General features: G+C 36.8%; 1 protein-coding gene across 5 annotated transcripts in view; it reads right to left on the bottom strand.

Annotated features, from left to right (window-relative positions):
* The window catches only part of SPRED1 (sprouty related EVH1 domain containing 1), a 104,414-nt gene continuing 92,761 nt past the window's right edge, over window positions 11,180–22,832 (bottom strand). For all 5 annotated transcript variants that reach the window (XM_047432199.1, XM_047432200.1, XM_005254202.4 and 2 more), the window contains 2 exons: window positions 18,906–19,007; window positions 11,180–17,415 (listed from right to left, as the gene is read on the bottom strand). In XM_047432199.1, the coding sequence (XP_047288155.1) occupies window positions 16,765–17,415; window positions 18,906–19,007 (753 nt within the window). In that variant the 3' untranslated portion in view covers window positions 11,180–16,764. The remainder of the gene's footprint in view (window positions 17,416–18,905; window positions 19,008–22,832) is intronic.

The raw sequence follows: 22,832 nt of genomic DNA, 5'->3' as shown, positions 1-22,832 counted from the left end.
ACATCTCTAAACTTGATTGCTTCTCAAGACTTTGTGTTTACATATTGAAGTTCCTATTCAGCTTCTCCACTTGGGTGTCTAATATAGTCCCCTCAGGTGTGTTATGCCCTCACCATTCCTATTCCCACTAAGACTTTGTCCTTCCCCAGGCTCACTTACATCAACATCTCTCCAGATTTAAGGTCAAGGATTATACTGTTTCACTGATTTCCACCTCCTACACCATTTATTCCATTATGAAGTCCTGTTGAAGCGGCCTTCAAAACATACGTAGAATCTGTCCCTTTCTCTTCATCATCTGATCCAAAGCAAAAAACCCTAAGACTACTTTAATAGTCTCATCATTGGCCTTCCTGCTTTTTGTTTTGTCTCCCTCTTCCCCAAGGAATTCTCCATATAGTTGCCAGACTAATCTTTTACAATTGTAAATGATAAATGCCATCCCCTAGCTAAAACCCTTCAATTATTTCCTCTTGTACCTAGAATAAAATAAAAACTCCTTACCTTGGTGTACGATGCCTACATAATCTGGCTTCTGACAATCTCTCCTGTGTTCACTCTGCTCCTATCCTAGTCTTCTATCTCTTCTTGTAACCCATAAAACTTGTTTCCACCTGAGGCCTGCATTAGACAAAACAGGGTATGTTATGCTACTTTAATACACAATCCTCAAATCCCACAAAGTATCCAGTGGGACCAGGCAGCTCTCCAGCTCAACTGCTGTCCATAAGGGGACCCGGTAATTCAGGCTGCCTCAGCCTTGTGATTTCACCATCTCAGTATGTGATTGTTGTGGTAGAAGAAGAAAGTACTAGCAGGTCTTACATCAGCCTGCAAATTTTTGTATCACTTTGTCTCATAACCTATTCTCCAGAACCCATTTTCCAGAAGTAACTACCTATAGCCCCACAGGTAGGAAAATCCTCCTGTATGCCAAGAAGGAGAGCCGAGTCCAATATGAGTACAAGTCTCTACCACAGACCGGTTTCCTGTTCCTGGAATGAACTTCCCTCTAATTTTCACATGGCTGACTCCCGATTGACATGCAGGTCTCATCTCAGAAGTCACCTTCTCAGGCTGTCATTGGCCACCCAGGTGTTCTTTGTTTCAAATTAGTATTAATTTTCTGTATATAACTTGCAACATTCTGATTTGGTTTTATTATTTTTTTGTTTATTGAATACCCTCTCCCTCATCTAGAATGTAAGCCCCATGAAAGCAGATAACTTATTTGCTTTGCTTACTCTGAAGTCCCCAGACTCTCAATAAGTATTTGTTAAATAATTTAATAAAACAATTACTCAGAAATGCAAATATGATCATCTTCTCTCTCTCCCCCCACCTCTCTCGCTCTCTCTCTCTCTCTCTCTACCTCTGTCTCTCTCTGTCCCTCTCCTTAATGAATTTTTATAATCTTCAGGATAAAGTTTAAACTTCCTGACTTGAAACACAAATCTTCACATTTGTAACAACTGGTTACCTTTCATTTCATCCCCAGGGGCTGGTGTTTGGGGATACAGTAGTGTAGAATCTCCAGCTTCATATCCTATCCTTCTCTTCCCAGTACTCAGGGTTAAAGTCATATAAACAACCTAAGGGAGCCAACAAATTCCATTTTCTTTAGACAGATCCTTTTTGAATTTATTAAGTGAGGATGGAGGCAGATTAATACAAAATGTACAAAAAAAGAGATTCGCGTTCTAATTTGCCTTCATGGCTAAAGCCAAATCAATGTTCTAAAATAATTCTGTTAAGTGCTTATCACTTAAATTTGGATAAGGCTAGATTGAGTTGCTGAAACAAAAACAACAAAACTCCAAAGTACCATGAGCTTAACATAACAGGGGTATATTTCTTATTCAGGAAAAGTCCAATGAAATTCAGATTGTCCGCCTCTATCTTGTAGCTGCACCAGCTATTCATGACCACTAAGATTTTGCAAAAGGGCAAAAGAGACAAAGTCATACTAGTTCTTAACTGTCTTTCCTCAAATGTGACCCCTCACAACTCTTTAAATTATGTTGGCTAGAAGTAGTCATGCAGCCTCAACATATTCTAGGGGAAGCTTGGAGAGGTAGAGAAGCATATGAATACTAGAAAAGCACTAGCAATCTCTGCCTTAATCAGGCCATCAACTATTCCTTTGATTCTTTCCATCTACTAACAAAGACTTCTTGACTTGAGTCAGTCTCCTTGGACTAGACCCTAACCTTGGGCTCTGTCCTTAGCCAACTTAGTTCAGTTTTGGCAAGAATCCTGCTGGAACAGTTTAATGAAATTCCCCCTTCTGATACACGATCAATTTTCTCATACCACCCCCCTTGATATCTTATCTCTCTGGTCTGCCTTCAGCAAGGATCTTGTCAAGTGGGTTTAGCCACGATCTCCCTTACACCTGATGTTTCTTTGTAGAACTTTTCTGTCCGCTGGCTCCCATGCTACTCCTTAGCTATAAATCCCTACTTGTCCTGGATGTATTCAGATTTGAGTCCAATTTCTCTTCCCTACTGCAAAATCCCCATTGCTATAGTTCCTACCTCTATCACAATAGTTCTGAATGAAGTCTGCTTTATCATTTTAACAAGCATCTGAAATTTTCTTTAACACCACACAAAGAACATATTTGATCGATTCCCAAGGGAGACAACCTAAAGTACCATCCTATTGTTGCAGCCAGCTTAACAGTCTGGACCTGCGTATTTGTCGTCTTTGAGACATGGTTCTTCTCCATAGATTTATGAGCCAAGAGTCAACTTACTGGTCCACTTCTCCAACATATCCCATATGCACTGCTAAATCAAGAACAGGATAACTGCAATAGAAAATTCTCATTCAGAAAAAGGAAGAATGGTGGACATAAAGCAATTAATCGTCCATAGCAATTCTAAAATTCCACTCAGGAGACAACAGGAAGGTCTCTTACCCTGAAAATGAGAAAGAATCCTTGATTAGTCCCTAATTCTGCTCCGAAAAACTCCTTTATCCATTGCTGTGGCCCACTGCTTTGGCTTCTGAGGGATGTATTAGTTTTTTTGGAGCTGTTGGAACAAATTACCAAAATTTTAACTTACAACACTTCTAGAGGTTTAAAGTTTGAAACTTGAATACCTTGGGCTGAAATTAAGGTATCAGCAAGGCTGTGCTCCTTCTGGAAACTCTAGGTAGGGAAGAATCTGTTCTTTCCTTTTCCACATTCTGGTGGCGGCCAGCATTCCTTGGTTTGTGACTACAACCCTTGTCTTCAAGGCCAGCATCTTCAAATCTCCCTGTTCTGTCTTTACATTGCTTTTTGTGTGTGTCACCTCATGCTTGTAAGGTTTGTCTGCTCTTCCTTATAAGAACATATGAAATTATTATATTTAGGGTCCACCTGAATACTCCAGGAAAATCTCTCCAACTCAAGATCCTCGGTCACACCTGCAAAAGCTACTTTCTGATATAAGGTAACATTTACCGGTTCCAGAGATCAGGACTTGTTATCTTTAGTGGCCATTATTCAGCCTACTACAGGAGCTTATTCCATTTTTCTTATCCTCAGTAACTATCTGAACTGGGCCTTTGGAGAGTGTACAGCTTTCTCAGCCTGCTTCTTACTGGAGGAAATTTAGTGGTCCAGGGTGGGTCTTATGCCTTGAACATCACTTTTCCAGAGTTCTTGTTCTTGATTCCACTTTCTTTTATAATCTTCTAAATCAGACAATTTCTTGGGAGACAAAGGTAACTTTGAAAATTAGATAAAACTACTGTTAATAAATAATGATTTCAAATAGCCAAGGAAAAAGAACAAAGCTGGAGATAACATGCTGCCTGACTTTATACTACAGGGTTTCAGTAATCAAAACAGCATGGTACTGGTAAAAAAATAAACACATAGACCAATGGAACAGAATAGACAGCCCAGACATAAGGCTGCACACCTATGACCATCTGATCTTCGACAAAGCTGACAAAAACAAGCAATGGGAAAGGACTCTCCATTCAATAAACGGTGCTGAGATAACTGGCTAACCATATGCAGAAGATTGAAACTGGACCCCTTCTTTGCACCATACACAAAAATTAACTCAAGATGGATTAAAGACTTAAATGTAAAACCCAAAACTATAAAACCTTGGAAGACAGCCTAGGCAATACCATGCTGGACGTAGAAACAGTAGACAACCTAGGCAATACCATTCTTTGTCCATTGGGCAAAGGATTTCATGATGAAGACACCAAAAGCAATTGCGACAAAAGCAAAAATTGACAAATGGGATCTAATTAAACTAAAGAGCTGCACAGCAAAAGAGACTATCAACAGAGTAAATAGCTTACAGAATGGGAGAAAATTTTGCAAACTATGCATCTAACAAAGGTCTAATCTCCAGCATCTGTAGAGAACTTAAATACATTTACAAGAAAAAACAACCCGATTAAAAGTGGGCAAAGGATGAGAACAGACATTTTTCAAAAGAAGACAAACATGCAGCCAAAAAGCATATGAAGAAAGTTCTACATCACTTATCATTAGAGAAATGCAAACCAAAACCACAACAAGATACCATTTCACATCAGTCAGGATAGTTATTCTTAAAAAGTCAAAAACTAACAGATGCTGGTGAGGTTGCAGAGAAAAAGGAATACTCATATACTGTTAGTGGGAATGTAAATCAGTTAAACTATTTTGGAAAACAGTGTGGTGATTCCTCAAAAACCTAAAAACAGAAATACCATTCAACCCAGCAATCTTGTTACTGGATATATACCCAAAGGAATATAAATTGTTCTATTATAAAGACAGGTGCACGCATATGTACACTGCAGCACTATTCACAACAGCAAAGACATGGAATTAATCTAAATGCTCACTAGTGGTAGACTGGATCAAGGAAATGTGGTACATATACACCATGGAATACTACACAGCCATTAAAAAGAATGAGATCACCTCCTTTGCAGGAACATAAATGGAGCTGGAGGCCATTATCCTTAGCAAACTAACACAGAAACAGAAAACCAAATGCTGCATGTCTCACTTACAAGTGGGAGCTAAATGATCAGAACACAGGGATAAGAAGAGGTGAACAACAGAGACTGGGGCCTATCAGAGTGTGGAGGGTGGGAGGAGAAAGAGAATCAGGAAGAATAATTAATGGATACTAAGCTTAACACCTGGGTGACAAAATAATCTGTACAACAAAACCCCATGACACAAATTTACCTACATAACAAACCTGCACATGTACCCCTGAACTTAAAAGTTAAATTAAAAAATAGAAATAAAATAGATAGGGTTGGACGCGATGGCTCACGCCTGTAATCCCAGCACTTCGGGAGGCCGAGGCGGATGGATCATGAAGTCAGGAGATCGAGACCATCCTGGCTAACATGGTGAAACCCTGTCTCTACTAAAAATACAAAAGTTAGCCGGGCGCGGTGGCAGGGGCCTGTAGTCCCAGCTACTCCGGAGGCTGAGGCAGGAGAATGGCGTGAACCCGGGAGGTGGAGCTTGCAATGAGCCGAGATCGCGCCACTGCACTCCAGCCTGGGCGACAGAGCAAGATTCCATTTCAAAAAGAAAAAAAGAAAAAAAAAGAAAAGAAAAGAAATAAAATAGATAGTAATTTATTCCTGGTTAAAACATCACGCATTATTAAGTTTGCTTTTACTAAAAATTAAGTGGAGAAAATTAAAAGACTAAGAAAAGTATTCATATTGAAAATAATGGGTTTTAAATACTTAAGAGGAAATAGTTTCTAATAAGATGCACACAGGTTAAACCTATGTCGTCAGAAGTGGAGATGACTTTAATCAACTGCCGATCAAACTACAGGGAGTAATGGGTAAGTGCCAGCATTTGCTAAGCACAATGGACTTAATGCTGCCCCATTACAAGGAAGCAAATAAAGGCCTCTTTGTTAGAATATAAGGCATTGCAGAAACAGGCTACAGAGGCTCACACTGACCTTCTAGTTAGTCATTTTCTTTCTAAAAATTTCTAAGCATAGACTTAACATTTTTAAGTGGCTTTGATATTGATGGGCGTCATGAAAGTAACCACACAGTCAGTCCTTCAAAGATTTAGTATACTTGAGTGTTATTTATGGGTAAGATAGGTCAGTGAGTATACCAGAAAATGCAGAATAAGAGAAAATACAAAGACAGAAATTTGAAGGGAAAAAAGAGACAATGCAGGTTGAGCAAAAATAATAAATAGAAATAAAAGAAGACAGACCAGGGATTTAAGAAGGGGACAATGGAGATGAACCCCACAGGAGTAGAATGGAAGCCAGGAAAGAATGGGAAGCAGATAGACCAGGGTTTGAATTTTAGCTCTCACACTTAAGAACATAGCTAAGTTTCTCAATTTTTATATGCCTTGTTTCATGTGTGAAATGGAAGTAACCATGCCTACATTACAAAAGTATTGAGTAATTAAGTAATATATGTGAATGTGTTCAACACATTGTCTGGTACCTAACAGGCATACAATAAATGTTAAATTCTCTTTCCTCATTACTTGTACACAAAATACAAGTAGGAAGGAAAGGAGGAGAATAAGGAAAATAATTGTCCAATTAAGAAAAAACAACAATTAATCCTAAAACTATGATAATGGAAAAGATGAATATTCAGTGAACATAAAGTAATGAATCTTTCTAAAAATAAAAGACCCTGAGGTGAGTGAGTAGAAGTAGGAAAGCTGTTATAGAAGTATAGGCAAGAGATCATTCAACCTTGGACTGAGATGGCAGTGGTGCCCATGGTGAGGACTATTCAGGATTGAAATTTATTTTTAAGTTGAATCTCTCGTTGGTCTGTATTTAAAGCATGAAGCAAAAAGATGAAATCTCTGAACAACTGGGTGAATTATGATCATTTCTTAAAATAAAGCATCCTGGAGGTGGAGCAGGTTTGGAGGGGAAAATCAGTTCTGTTTTGGCCTCATTAAAACTGAAATGCCAGTGAGACCCCCAGTAGGTATGTCAAGTAGAAGATCTAAATGTGGATACCACAAACAGAAATAGGGCATTTAACTCTCTAAGCAGGGAGTATTGCTAGAGAGAGTTTATTGCTGCACCCTGAAGAATTCCAGCTTGTAGTGCTTAGAGAAGTGACAAGTGAAATTTGAGGAAACAAGGATAGTGTAGCATCAAGGAAGAATGTGCCAAAAGTTGCTCAGTGAGGTGAGGTCTAAAAAACATCCATCACATTTAGACATGTGGAGGCAGTCAGGGGCCCTGTAGAGAGCATTTCAGCAGAATGCTTAGGACAAAGCCTCAGGTAATACAATACCACCCCAACAAGATCTGAAACCAGCCTGTAATCCCAGCACTTTGGGAGGCCGAGGCGGGAGGATCACGAGATCAGGAAATCGAGACCATCCTGGCTAACACGGTGAAACCCCGTCTCTACTAAAAATACAAAAAATTAGCCAGGCGTGGTGGCGGGTGCCTGTAGTCCCAGCTACTCGGGAGGCTGAGGCAGGAGGATGACTTGAACCCAAGAGGCAGAGCTTGCAGTGAGCCGAGATCATGCCACTGCACTCCAGCCTGGGCTACAGAGTGAGACTCCGTCTCAAAAAAAAAAAAAAAAAAAAAATCTGAAACCAGTATTGGGTTTTCTTTCCTTTTGAAAGGCCAAATAACAGATTGCAAAATTTCCCACTTGAAAACCTTCCAGTGAATTCCTATTACCCTCAGAATAAAAGCTGAACTCTTTACCACGACTTCCAGATTCCCAGAAGATCTGGCACTTGTGGTCTTACCTCCATCCAAGAGCAGCCTCACCCAGCCCTTCCAGCCCTACTAGCTTCTTGCTCTTCATTAAGAAGCCAAGTTCCCTTCTATTAAGAGCCTTTGCATTCATTCTCCTCTAACCTGCGTGGTTCCTTCCCCACTTATGTGCATAGCCTTCCCTGACTACTGTATATGAAACCTCTTTGGGAGGCCGAGGCGGGCAGAGCACCTGAGGTCAGGAGATCGAGACCAGCCTGACCAACACGGAGAAACCCCATCTCTCCTAAAAATACAAAAATTAGCCGGGCTTGGTGGCTCATACCTGTAATCCCAGCTACTTGGGAGGCTGAGGCAGGAGAATCGCTTGAACCCGGGAGGCGGAGGTTGCGGTGAGCCGAGATTGCGCCACTGCACTCCAGCCTGGCAACAAGAGCGAAACTCCGTCTCAAAAAGAAAAAAAAAAAAACAACCATACCTCCTCCACATCCTTTAGGTAGTCAAGCTTACCTGGAGATTTCTTTTTCCTATGAAAGAAATCTACACTAGGTAGGCTATTTCTGATCTTGCTTTGGCAAAAAGTGAGTTGGAAAAGGCAAAGAAAATCTTTTGAATACAGGCTCACATGATTACAGAGCTACTGACTTACTTAAAATGCTACCAGCGACAAGATTCCAATGGTTTCCAGTAAGGGACTCTTCATTCACCTACGCTCTAAGACAAAAACCCACGACAACAAATAAGATAATACGTTTAAAATTACTTAGAAAAAATAATGGGTTTGAGGAAAAGTGAAAATGAAGTTTAAAGTTTACCATTTCTATAAGTTTGTACTCCATAGTTCAACTTAGTCTTAATTTTCTAGTTGGTCCTAGGTCCTGCGGTGTTCTTTCAAGTCACCATCATCTGATTCTGCAATCCCACTGTAAACCATTTTTAGATTTTGTCTAGATCTGGGAATATCTCAATCTGAAGATCACTTTTTAGTTACAGTATGAAGTATTTTCACCTTCTTAATCACATTTAAAATACAGACTATCTCTTATTAAAAATAATGGCATCCAAGTGATTCATTCAATGCCTACCTTCTAATGTCAATAGTGAGAAGACTTCTACTAAGATAGTTACAGTGGGGATAGAAGAACATGGACAGACTTGAGGGATACTTAAGAAACAGAACTGTAGGAAATTGAGAACCAATAGTGAAAAGTAAGGGGAAATGAGAAAATAAAGATGAAGGCCAGGTGCAGTGGCTCATGCCTGTAATCCCAGCACTTTGGGAGGCCGAGGAGGGTGGATCACTTGAGCTCAGGAGTTTGAGACCAGCTTGGGCAACATAGCAAGACTCTGTTTCTACTAAAAATAAATTTTTTTTTTCTCTAATGACCTGGTTTCTGGCTTAGCCCACTGGATAGGCAGTGGTGTCACCTCAAGGCAGAGAGAAAAAAGGTTTGAAGAATGGGGGAAATATGTCAGTTTTGGGCATATTGAATTTAAGGTACTTGCAAGAAATGTATTTTAGGCAGTTGGATATAGAGTTTAGTACAGATTGTGTTACTGTGTATGTTAAGTGAATGACAACCTTGCAGTAGTATCTAAACCTTCTTGGATCCATTACTACATTTATAAAATGAGGGTGTCGTACTGATCTTTAAGGTGCCTTTCAGCCCTAAAACTTCAGTGAATTCAACTTTATCATTTTATTATTTAAATAATTTGGTTTGGATCCCCATTTTCTTCTTAGACTCTAGAGAATCATGTTATTGTTAGCACTTTAGTTCAGCAGTTTTAAACAAAAACTATTAACCAGTTAGAAGCTTGTGAATTCATACAACTTTGTTTTCTCTTAAATTTTAAGGGATTGCGAATCATTTGCTTCCCCTACCAACGGAAGACATATATTCAAGCTTGCTGGACTTTCTTTGGATGAATACAAGAATTTTTAAAGAAAATGTAAAATATACTCATGAACATTTCTTCTCCATGAATTCTTCCTCTCATAGATTTGGAGAAGTTGGAGAAACATTAATTAATAGAAAAAAAGGGGAGAGGAAAACGTGGAGCACAAAAAAATGGGGTTTGTTTGGCAAGAAAAATAATCTACAAGGAGATGTATCACAATACATTTTAAAAGGAAAAAAACCAGCACTTAAATTGGTGCCTTGCAACTGGCAATACGAAACTAAGTGATAGAAATGAAAGACAGGTTTAAGTTAAATTTTAATTTAAATTTTATTGTTGAGATAATAGTCTTGACATTTCAATACTGAATATTCTGGAATTCTTTGTCCTCCTTTCTTCCTAATTGCACATAGCATCTTGGTTATTATAAATTATTTCCAGGTTAACAGAACCAGTAATTTTGAGAGAATACTAATCTCATTGTGGGAAACATGTTTCAGTAGTAGTCCTGGCCGGGTGCGGTGGCTCATGCCAGTCATCTCAGCACTTTGGGGAGGTCGAAGTAGAAGGATTGCTTGAGCCCAGGAGTTCGAAACTAGCTTGGGTAACACAGCATCACCTTGTCTCTACAAAAAAAGAAAAAAATTAGCTGGGTATGGTGGCAATTGTTGTGGTCCCAGCTACTTGGGAGGCTGAGGTGGAAAGGTTGTTTGAGCCTGGGAGGTCAAGTTTGCAGTGTAATGTGATTGCTCACTGCACTCCAGCCTGGGCACAGAGCGAGACTGTGTCTCCAGAAAAAAAAAAAAAAAAAAAGTAGTCCTGACAATAAATGCAACTTTGGTTCCCAAAAGAGGCTCTGTGGAATAACTGACAGATGAATCGCTCATCATTTGGGGGGGGGGGGGCGGGGGGAGCGGGAGGTCGGAAGAGTACTGTATACACGGCTCATTTTAGAGCATTGTTTCCTACTGCCTCAAGGAGAAGTATTGCTGCTTTGGTGAAAATGAATCCCTCCAATAAAATACCACCAATTGAGCAAAATGAACAATTCCACAAACTGAACTATGTATGTTTTTAGTGCTTCCCATTGGATCAACTCACAACTGGCATATCTTGAAGCATTATCACAATTATCCTCCAATTTAAAAAATTCCCATGCCATACTGTGGATCACGTACCACAACTTAGTGAGATAGGGGGCCCAGAAATGGACAAGGGAGAGTAGAAATTAAGAAATTATTCCTTTATAAAACAAAATTACTCCAGCTTAAAATAATAAATAGAATTTCATTTTAACAGAATGATTATTTTATGAAGTGTATCTGTGACTCCTGTAACAGAAAGCTGAAACTGCATCAGGAAGAAAAGCCTATGCTTTGGAGTCAATTTGTTTCAGACCTGGTGCCTCTGTGTTATCTGGTATTTTGACCTTTTGATGCCCAAATCTCTTCCTTAGAAAAATAAGGAAGATAATACTTACAAGGTTACTTGAGGATTAAAAGTAATCATGTATAAAATACATTATGTAACAAAAATAAAGACAAAAGAAACACTATTTCAACTGTGATTTTGTTAAGACTTTTATTATGAATGTATTTTTTGAACCATCATTTCAGATCTCACTAAAACTGCAAATCTTAGAGCAGTTCAATTTAAAGAGTGACTACAGCTTTCATACCATTGATGTCGATGTCTTTTTCTTTAAGGAGCACTATGTGCATGACACTTATATTGATAGCCAAGCTAGAACCCTAGTTTCAATTTCCTTGTTATAAAAGCTATTCTACTTACTTGTGGGTATTAACTTGATGTGAAGAATGTAAAGCAAATTCTGAAAAACCTGTAAATAAGCACATGAGACTACATTTCATAATTAATGGTAAAGATACAGTTACTCCTTGATTTTTCAAATAAACTATAATATAGTAATCCAACTTATTCTAGTGTTGAGATACACTATAATTTTTTATTACTGTCCTAATAACCTTTCCTTTAGATTATTCGTTATTTTTGGTTATATGGCGAGTTAAGTAAAACGATGAAACTGACTTGAATATAAAAAAATCAGTAGTCCTGGGTTAAACAATTGCCACTTAAGGTCATTAGCTTAGCTGCAACATGTTACCAAACCAATAAATATAACATTATTAGCTTAGAGACTTAAAAAAAAATCTGAATACAATTAAGGATGAATAAATATGTTATTAAGATGAACTATATGTGAACTTTCAGTTTAAAAGTATACTTTTAAAGAACAGAGCTAATTATCAAAAGCTTCCATTTTTACTTTCTCCTCCAGTAATTATCTCTTATGTGATAATTTGATAAGCTCTAGGAGAATAAGAAAAAGTCCTTTTATAATTCATGACAGGTTTAATCAGGTAATTCCAGGAGGGAAAAAAACCATTAAAACAAATTCTTATGATAATCATCTGCTATGTCCAATTACACGGGTATGAAGTAACAGAAATGGTTACAAACTTATAATGTATTATTTACATTATATACTCAAAACTATCAAGCTAGTTAACTATATCTGAGGAGACACATTATGACATGAGTTAAACAGTTTTTCATTGTTCATTAGAAAGAATGCAGTCAAGCTTTTAATGGAAATAATATACAAGTGAGGCACTTTTGAGGTCAGAAATAGAAAGCAAACGACACTACACACTGGAAATGTTCACAAAAATCTATGTGTATTTTTAATACAAAGACTTTTCAACTAGTTTATTCTTGAAAAAATTTCAAAACAACTGATGCAATTTAAGAAGCTTTCAGGAATAATGGCTAACATTTATCAGTGTACCAAAGCATATGAATCTTTTATAACCACCTGGCTGCTAGGCAAACAGTACCTAATACCTTAAAGCCTTTTTTTTTCTTTTGGTTTATATAAATCACCTCCGGTTGTGTTTCTCTCTTAAAGAAATTCATTCTTCATGTTTGTCTCATTGCAAAACACCTCATGGTGCTATTATGATTTATAGACTTTTTTAGTGCAACAATAATGCCAGTTTCTAGTGCTTCCTCTTACACTTTGAAGTGTGAACATGGAAGTCAAATCAAGAATGAGCATAATAATTAGTAAAGAATCCTTGCTTTTCAGGTAACTAAAGTTTTCTAAGTTTTATGTGGAAAAAATGTTACACTTGCTTAATGCACCTTTGGGCTACAATTAAAAACCCAATTTAACACATACTTCCAAGTGTAATCACAAAATCGAATGTAAATTTCAACACAAGAAATATCCTTAAGATTCTTTACATTGACCATTTAGAGGAAAGCACATTTCCTGTACTCTGGAGACTCACGTGCATATTAAGAAACATTTCCGTGCCATTTAATTAAGGGGGCAGGGGAGAGGAAAAAGAAAAGAAAAAGCAAGACTTACCCAAGATATCAGATGGCACTATACACATGAATTGAAAGTGCATTTACATTACTTCAAAAGCTCATTTTAGGCACTGCTGAATAACCAATGAAAATAGGTAGTTTCAAGTTTTTCCCTTTAGATTTTAACCCCACCCCATCATCATTTCAGAAACATACACACGGCTGGGCGCAGTAGCTCATGCCTGTAATCCCAGCACTTTGGGAGGCCGAGGTGGGTGGATCACCTAAGGTCAGGAGTTCAAGACCAGCCTGGCCAACATGGTGAAACCCCATCTCTACTAAAATACCAAAACTTAGCTGGGCATGGTGGTGGGTGCCTGTAATCCCAGCTACTTGGGAGGCTGAGGCAGGAGAATCGCTTGAACCCAGGAGGCGGAGGTTGCAGTGAGCTGAGATCGCACCATTGCACTCCAGCCTGGGCAACAAGAGTGAAACTCCGTCTCAAATAAAAGAGAGAAAAACGTACACACACACTCTCTGAAGCTGTCATGATAAAATACAGGTGTGATTATGTTTTTTCATGTTTTGATTATTATTTTTAAAAATTCTCCCTGACTGGCGGAAGGAGGAAAAAAATACCATTTTGGTAATGGCTTTTGAGAGTTAAAGCAACTGGTTCTATAAATGCCTCAGTACATCCATTAAGTTTGATTGCCAGTCCCAAATATCAACAAATATTTTAAAACAGGATATGTAAGAAAAAAGTGCTTAAAATCTTTCAGCAAGCCAACAAGACACATTAGGTAAATAACCATTTTACAATTCCTTTGAGACAGTTCTTATTCCTGGTTTCCCTGGTAGAGGTGGTCACCACATAAATAGCCCTTTAATGGTAGTAGTGATGAACCCTGTCAGATCCCTATTGCCATCTCATGTCTCTGGCCTGGAAATCATCCAGTAGGTGGTGCTGAAGCTCCACACGACATACTTCTTCAGAAATCAAATGATGTCCCTTTTGAAGCCAAGAGAAATATTTAAGAATTATCAATTCTGAACAAGTTCATCAGACCAGTCTTGCTTGTCATGCCGTCTAGATGATTCCATTTTCAATACTATTACTCAAGCAGTTGTCTTGAGCCATCTGCTTATATCAGATAAAAACAAAGAAAAGTTTTAGAGGAAAAGCCAATTGGCAGTGCCGAATCTGTACAGAGAATGAGAAAATGTTCCTGAAGGTGCCTATACACATGTTTAAGAATCAGTGATTTAAACTACCCATTTGCTTTCACAAAGGAATTCTCATTTACTCAAAAGAAAATTTCCATATAGGGATTCAGAGAACATTATATCATCAGTTAGTCTTGTAGACTGATTAAGAAACTGGGTATGTTAACTATAAAGATCCAAGGTAAAATAAAAACCATTTCATCACCATAGTTTTTAATGAAGAAACTTGTTTAAAATTGTAAAGGAAAAAATGGGAATGGGACGGCAAAATCTTAGCAGCAAAGTGGTTAAACAAATTGAAAATATTAATGCACAAACATTAAAATATTAAAGCATATATGTTGCATATAAAATACAGTACAGAACCAGGAGTTGCACTATACTGATTAGTGCTTAACAGAAGAAATGATTAAATTTGTTCCTCCCAGAAGTATATACACAGTTCATTTCCACAGCATTTTCCTATATAGCCAGCAAGTTATTTTCTTCAGTTATTCACACCTTGATCAAACCTGAATTATAAACTTAGCACTTACAAATATGAAAATTCATTCACAAGGAAAAACAGTATTTCCATTTCACCAATAAAAATTTTGAAAGTTAACAGTCTATTCTAGGAAACCAAGTTTAGCTGAAAACTTCAGGGATGAAGATCATCTGTTGTAGCAGCATTCAAATATATAAACAGTAAAAATAAGACTTAAAACTGCTGCCTACAGTGTCATGTTTTGGATTTAGTTCATCCAATTGATTTTTAGTACAAAACTAGAAATACCCTCTTCTTCATAACATCTATAGTTATCAATATATTTTCTTCTTTTCAATGTGAAATAATACTTCAAGATGATCTATATACACAATGTTGTCAGTTCAAGCTGTCATATAAATATAAATGCTTTCTTAAAAAAAGTATTTTACAGACAGATAGTGTTATATACATTGTTCAGTTTGATCTGGGGCAAAAGAAAAAAGCTAACACAAGCTTAAGTGTGATATATAAAAAGAATGATACATAAATGACGTTTAAAAACCTGCATAGAAAATGAGCTTCAAATAGTAGTGTGATTTTAATTTTTATCACCTCTGAAACTTCAAGCCATTAAAAAAAAGGCACACTTCTCAACTTTATCCCTCTAAGGGAATGTTCTTAAAGAACCCTTTCCTTGGTTAGAGTTTTAATGTAACACTTAAGAAAACAACAACAACAACAACAAAACAAAAACAGACAATTTGACTTCAAGGTACTTTAAAGTTTGTTGGAACATTTACCCAACTATTTTGTAAATTAAACATCCAGTAATATAATGCTCTGCAAAAGAAATAAATTTATATGTACAAGATACTTCATTTACAATGTTGGATTAAATACTTTCCTGGGATAGTTTAGCACACATTTTAACATAAAATAATTTTGCTTTTGGCCAGTTTAAATAAAAATAAAATGTAACTGATAAAAAGTTATTGTTATGTAAATAATAAGCACTGAGGATTAAGCTGAAAAATTAGTAACACAGCTGAACATATTCTGGTTTAGCAGAATGATACGTGAAGATCTCAACATGAAGCTTTTACACTAACTATCCAGTCAAACTTTCTGCCTTGTAAAACATTTGTAAATGCAATATAACTTTTTGAAGGAGGAAACTCTGAAAGAAAACAACTTGCTGGTTGAATACCACAAAAAACAACTAAAAAACTTCACTTTTTTTCTATAATGTTTGTTTACTCAGTCTCTTTTTATATAAAAATAAGTGTTACGTTCCCATCAGAACATTAGACAATTACATCTGTGCTTTAAAAAAAAAGTTGGTCACTCAAGGCTATTAGAGTATTTTTAAGGATTTTAGATTACCAGAATGTACAGATATAACTCAATATAAATTGTAGCCAAAGAGAAATAAGGATGAAAATATCAAATCATTCGCATGGAATAAAAACATTATTAACTAGATGAGTTAAATATTCAAAATATATGGAATGTGACAGTAGATATATATATATATATATCTACTTCAGAACTAGGAAGGGGAAGAAAAGTTTAATATGTAATAATTCGTACCTTACATTTAGTTAAATATAAACATTTGTTATTTATACATAAAACTGCTTTCAAAAAACAACTAATAAATGATTTAGTTGCACTTGTTTTACTTCTTGTAATTCCCAAGTGTTAACTTTTCTTAGATTGAAATCAACTGTCCCCTAGTGCACTTTTATTTTTAGTTCGTGTCCTAATAAATTCAAACCTTTAAAAGTCCCATCACCTAATGCATAAATATACAAAAATGCCAAAAATTAATCCCTTTTAGTTGGATCATATTTTATGCTGACTTTTTATAGCCAAATAACCAGAAATGGTTTCCTTCTGCAAATACTCTACAACCTGTAACAAAACATGCCATGCACTCAAGGGAAAAGTTAGGCATGGCGTGAAACGCCAAGAACTGATGAGTTCTGCTTCCTCCATGTGTGGGCTCAATGATACCAGGCAAGATTCCATATTGCTTGCCAAAAGCTTCCACAAATCCAAGTTAGCTAATTCCTGGAAACAAAGATTTTAAGCTCATTTTGGCACTGGACCATTTCATCCAGCAGCTTTATGTTTCCCACCACAGCAACCACATGCCTCACCACAGCGATGGCACATTCTCAAAGGGACGTAGCAGCACATACATGGTACAATGAAAGACAAAGCTACCAGGGCTAACCATCGCAAGCAGAACTTGTCGTCGCTAGTGTCACACGAACAGGGATCAGAAAAATCTCCCTCTGAGTCTGACATACAATGATACAACATGCTCTCTGCACAGAGCATGCAACTAACTTGATATATGCATCTTTTAATAGGGTCTGGAGCATCCTGACATTTTCCCCTAACATTTTCTTCATGATTAAACCTTTCCTGGCAGTATACGCAGCGAGAACGTTCACCATCCTCTTTTCTTCGTTTTGACTTCTTAATTTTTAATGAGGAAGGCTGCGTCTTAAATACCACAGAGTCTTTGGGTGAACTTAACTTAGTCTCATCCCCACAAGAGTACAGATAGTCTGATTTTTTACTGTCTGGTTTAGAAAACTGAATACTGGAATCAGCATCATCTCTTTCCAAGTCATTTTTCCACATGTCAGGATGTCTGTAGTCTGCATAGCGACGTATTAAGATATCTCGAGGGTTTATTCTGACAATCTCATCCTCATCTTGAAAGCTGACATGTCTGATTGATTTCAAAGGGACCTAAAAAAGAAACAGATAAAAACTGCAATGAGGGCTATGATGGTTAATTTTACGTGTCACCTTGGTGGGGCCAGTGTCCAGATATTTGTTGAAATATTATTCTGGACATTTCTATGATATGTTTTTGGGATGAGATCAACATTTCAGTTGGTGGACTATGAGGAAAGCACAGTACCTTCTGTGGTATAGGCGGACCTCATAAAATCAGTTGAAGGCTTTACTAGAACTAAGACTGAGCTCCCCCTGAGCAAGAAGAAATTCTGCCAGCAGGGTGCCTTTGGACTCAGACTACAACTATTTCTTGGGTCTCCAGACAGCCTACCCTGTTTTGGATCTGTACCTCTACTATTGCATGAGCCACTTACCCACACTTGATTGAAAGACGTTATTTAGATGAGATTTGGGACTTAAGAGTTGATGCTGGAATGGGTTATGTCTTTGGGGCTGTTAGGATAAGGATGAATGTATTTTGCAAGTGAGAAGGGCATGATTTTGGGAACAAAGGACAAAATGTTATGGTCTGACTTATGTCCTCTTCAAATTCATATGCTGAAGCCCTAACCTCCAGTAATGCGACTGTATTTGGATATAGAGCCTTTTAAGAGGTGACTAAGTTAAAATGTGGCCCTTAAGAGAGACTTTAATCCAATCTGACTGTTTTCTTTATGAGGAAATTTGGACACACAGAGAAAGACACCAGGGATGTACGGGCAGAGGAAAGAGCATGTGAGGGCAAAGTGAGGAAAGACCATGTGAGGGCAGCTACCTGCAAGCCAAGAAGAAAGGCCTCAGAAGAAACCAAACCTACCAACAACCTTGATCTTGAACTTCTAAGAATTGTGAGAAAATAAATTTCTGTTGTTGAAGCTACCCAGTCTGTAATATTTTGTTGTGGGAGTCCTAGCAAATTAATACAAAGACACACATGTGTGTAGCTTGGGTACACAAAAAGTCTCTGAACAATGACGTAAAATACCCCTACTTCCACAACCCTTCTGGGAAGGTTGGTTCTTTGAGGCCAAAGAACAAAATTAAGTCTTTTGACCCCTTACATCATCCATAAATGCAGGCTTCTAAGTAGACAAATTTGTATCTTTAGCTCCAGTCCCTGGACACAGTGACTAGTCTACTACAAGTAAGCATCTGACTCAGTTTGGGGCAAACTTCTATTTCCTAGATACATGGAATTAGGGCTAAGAAAATTCTAGGTCTGAGCTAAAGGTGGGGTGACAGATACAGTTTATTTAATTAACAATATATAATTCCTTTTGGTCCTATCTAATAAATGCAGCTCTGGCAATCTTTTAGACTCAAATGAGAAGTTTGCAGAGTTTTTAACTAACAGCGTTTAAGCACATAGGCAGCAAATTTATACAATGAAAAATTTTCTAGTACAATTCAACTATATGGAGAATTAGAAAGACTGGAAAACTTTACCTATCTATTAATTAGTTAAATTCCATATCACAAGATAAACTAACATTACTTACCCTATTTTGGGACTTTAGGCTTCCACATTCCTTGGATATTTGCCGCTGTACGTATTCCATACTTCTGCTCTGAATGTCCAAGCCTGGCTGACCAAATGTTATCTAAAATACAAACAATTTCTACTTAAATGACACAAGAATTTTACTTTTAATGAAACTGTACAGTGTATGTTCCAAAACCTCATAATTTATTAGCAGTAAAGTTTTTCAAAAACGGTTTTGAGAATAAAAATAGAATCATTTCCCCCCACCTAAAACACAAACAAAAACCATAGGTCTTTTCTTACATATTTAAACTTTAACAAGTAATGAATACATAGTCAAAAAAGTACAAACAACCCAAATATTCATCAACTAATGAACGGATAAACAAAATGTAGTAAATCCATAGAGTGGAATATTATTCAACCACAAAGAGAAATAAAGTAGTTACACATGTCACAATAATGGTTGCCAGGGGCTGGGAATAGGGAAGGAGGGGCAATGACTGATAATCAGTGTGGGTTTTTTGGGAAGTGATATGGAATTTGATACTGCTGATGGCTGCACAATCTTGTGAATATAATAAAAACCACCAAATTACATACTTTTTTAAAGGATGATTTTGTGGTAGGTGAATTATATAGCAATAAAAAAATAGGAATCTTTAGTGTCCTGATACATTTACAAGTGTTTCGAATTGCAAAGCCCATTTCAGACCTAAATTATAGCTAGAATATATCAATGTTTAATTTTTAAAATTTTATGGTGAAAAATTCTAATATACATAAAAGGAGAGAATAATGTTATGAATCACCATGGGTCTATTATCTAGCTTCACTTATCATCAACATTTTGGCAATCTTGTTTACTTCTTATTTTTCCAGATAATTTTGAGCCAACTCCTACTGTTACATACTTAATAAACACTATAACCCTGAAAATAAATAGTAATACATGCAGATAGCAAAATTTTCAAATAGTATAAAAGCACATGAAGTAAAACTCTTCCTTCCATCTTAGACCTTTCAGACCCAGTTTTAAAAGTTAACTATCATAAAAAAAATTTTTTAGTGCATTCCTCCAAAAATTTTTACACACACAGACACACACACACACACACACACAGATCTTTAAAATAGGACCCTTTGTACTGTGCCCTTGGTCTCTGCATTTAATGATACAATATGGAGGCCATTCTATGTTTATAAGTAGAATCTGTAAGAATTTAGAAATTAACAAGAGGAAATAACTATGGATTAAATGGTCTGGGAAGGCATGAAAGGAAATGCGACTTGAAGTAAACACAGAATAAGCTAGATATTTGGTCAAGTGAAAAAAAGAAAAACAGAAGAACATTACACAAAAGGAAGCAGAGAGAACAATTTTTTTTCCTGATAGAACACAATGACCTCAACTAGTATATTAAATATACATTTCTAAGAACTATTCTAAAGAGTAAAAATGTCAATTTTCTCACCACTGTCTCAGAAAAAAGTCACACACACCACTTAAACACATACACACTTTGAAAACTACCTGAGTCAACAGGGTCTATGAATATTAGTTCTCTCACACAATCTCTAAGTGAAAAGACAAATAAATGGACAATATTGACCTTTTCACACTTACTAAAAACAGATGTGATAAGATACACCCCAATTAATTTCTGCTTTTTAATACCCTCAAAATTTGGTACTTTTGCTATAATCTTCAGGAAAATTTATCAGCTGAAAAAGTCATAAGAGATGCTTCTTCAAAGCTGGTCACAATTAAAATTTTAAAAGGATTCCATTTATAATAGAACAACAAAAATGGTACAAAGAAATAATCCTATAAAATATGTATTATCTTTTCACAAAGAAAATACAAAGTTTTATGTAAAGATACAGAAGAAGAGCTAAACAGAGGTATATATCATATTCACGAATAAGATGATAAATTATCCCCTAAACTAACACACACATTCAGCGCAATTCAAATATAAACCACAAAAGGATTCTTCATCAGATTTGACAAGCTGATTCTAAATATTTTAAAAGGGCAAACAGCCAAATTGAAAAAAAAAAAAAAAAAAAAAAAAGATCCAAGCGGGAAAACAAAGTTAGGCACTTTCTCTACAAATATTAAGTTATTATAGAGCTACAGCATTTCTACAGTAAAGATGACAATGTGACACTAATTTAGATTAGAGACATCAGAAACAGACTCAAACATATATAGAGAATTGATGTGTCAGATATGGTACTGCATATCAGTGCGGGGAAAGGCTCCAATAAACAGTGCGGGGACAATTAGTAACCTATGTGGAAAAAATAAAATTTGGTCCCTACCATAGAAGAGAAATCAAATTAAAGTGGATTAAAGACAAAACTTTAAAACTTTTAGATTAGGAAGAAAATCTTTAAGATGAGGATAGGGAAGAGTCTGTAAAAATAATGAGAAATGATAAATTCAACTGCATTAAAATTTATAATGTCTGCTCACCAAAACACCACAAAGAGTGAAAAATAATCACCAACTAGGAGATACTAGCCACAAATAAAACTCAGAAAGATCTGAATCCAGAATATACAGGGAAGTAACACAGAACATTTGATTACCTAGTAACAAGGCCATATGAAAGCATGCAGTTAAAATCCATTTGTAAAGGAACAATCACAGTTATTTCCGAAGTCTTTCAAATACTCAATACATATCCCCTGTAGGTGGTACACATCAATCCTAAAGTCCAATTTGTCCCAGAACCTTCTGTAGCACATCAATGTAAAAAGTCCACTCCTGAACACTCCAAAGAAACTCATGCACATGAATAGCTGCGGACAAGAAAGTTTGTACTAGCAGTATGCCTGTAACAATAAAAACCTGAAAACAACTGAAATATCCAATTGGGAGAATAAAAAGAAACAAGTTTTAGAACTATCAAGGAAAGCATGAGAATGTTAGACAAATACAATTCCAGGTAATAGTTACCTCTAGGATGAAGGCAAAGGTATAGATTGGGGGTGTTCCTTTTTTAAGTTGTTTCGTGGTTTCTCAAGTATTCAGTGAATACATTCTTTTTTATGTATTAAACATGTCATAAATCTTTGAAATATGCTGTCATATTTGTCTACAGGGAAATGAACCCGTGAAAGTAAGAGAAACTGAGTTAAAGAACTATAATGGCTTCCAGGCCTATAAGACTTTGAAACAATGTATCTATCCATCCAGAGGATTTTTTTTTTTTTTGAGACAAGGTCTCACTCTATCACCCAGGTTGGGTGCAATGGCGTACGTGGCTCACTGTGGCCTGGACCTCCCTGGCTCAAGCAATTCTCAGGCTTTAGACTCCTGAGTAGCTGAGACTACAGGCGCGTACCACCATGATATATGAGATGGAATCTTGCTATGTTGCCCAGGTGGTCTCAAATGCCTAGTCTCAAGTGATCCTTCTACCTCGACCTCCCATAGTGCTGGGACTGCAAGTGTGAGCAACCATGCCTGACCTCAAAAGATTTACTAGCTCTTCAAAGCATTAAAAAACGAGTCAAAGACAAATACTGGCAATGCCTATTTAAGCATTACTAAGGGAACATAAACTAGCGTAGTTGACAATTCCTTATGGGTCCCATCTCTGCAGATCTAGTGAACATATGCACTATCGGCCTTTTGTTTTAGACTATCTTTTCAAGGACGTCTGTACAGTGAAACCCTTGAAAGACACAGTGTTTCCCCTTTGGAGACAGGCTTGTTTAGTGTCCAGTATAACAAAGACAGTATCTCCTTCCTCAGCAAGTAAGGCAGGCTACTGAAGTGCACTAAAAGTCATTACAAAAGACTTGACTTCCCTAAGTTCAGGGTTCCAATGCTGGGATGCAAACCCACCGAGTGGACAACATATTCCTGAGCATCATTCCCATGGGATTTGGAGGAGCAAGGGAAACCAACACAAACATGAAGCTCATG

Source organism: Homo sapiens, chromosome 15, assembly GCF_000001405.40.
Source record: "Homo sapiens chromosome 15, GRCh38.p14 Primary Assembly".
Lineage (NCBI taxonomy): Eukaryota > Metazoa > Chordata > Mammalia > Primates > Hominidae > Homo > Homo sapiens.
Note: the sequence above shows the minus strand (reverse complement) of the source record. Positions and strands in the feature narration are given on the sequence as shown.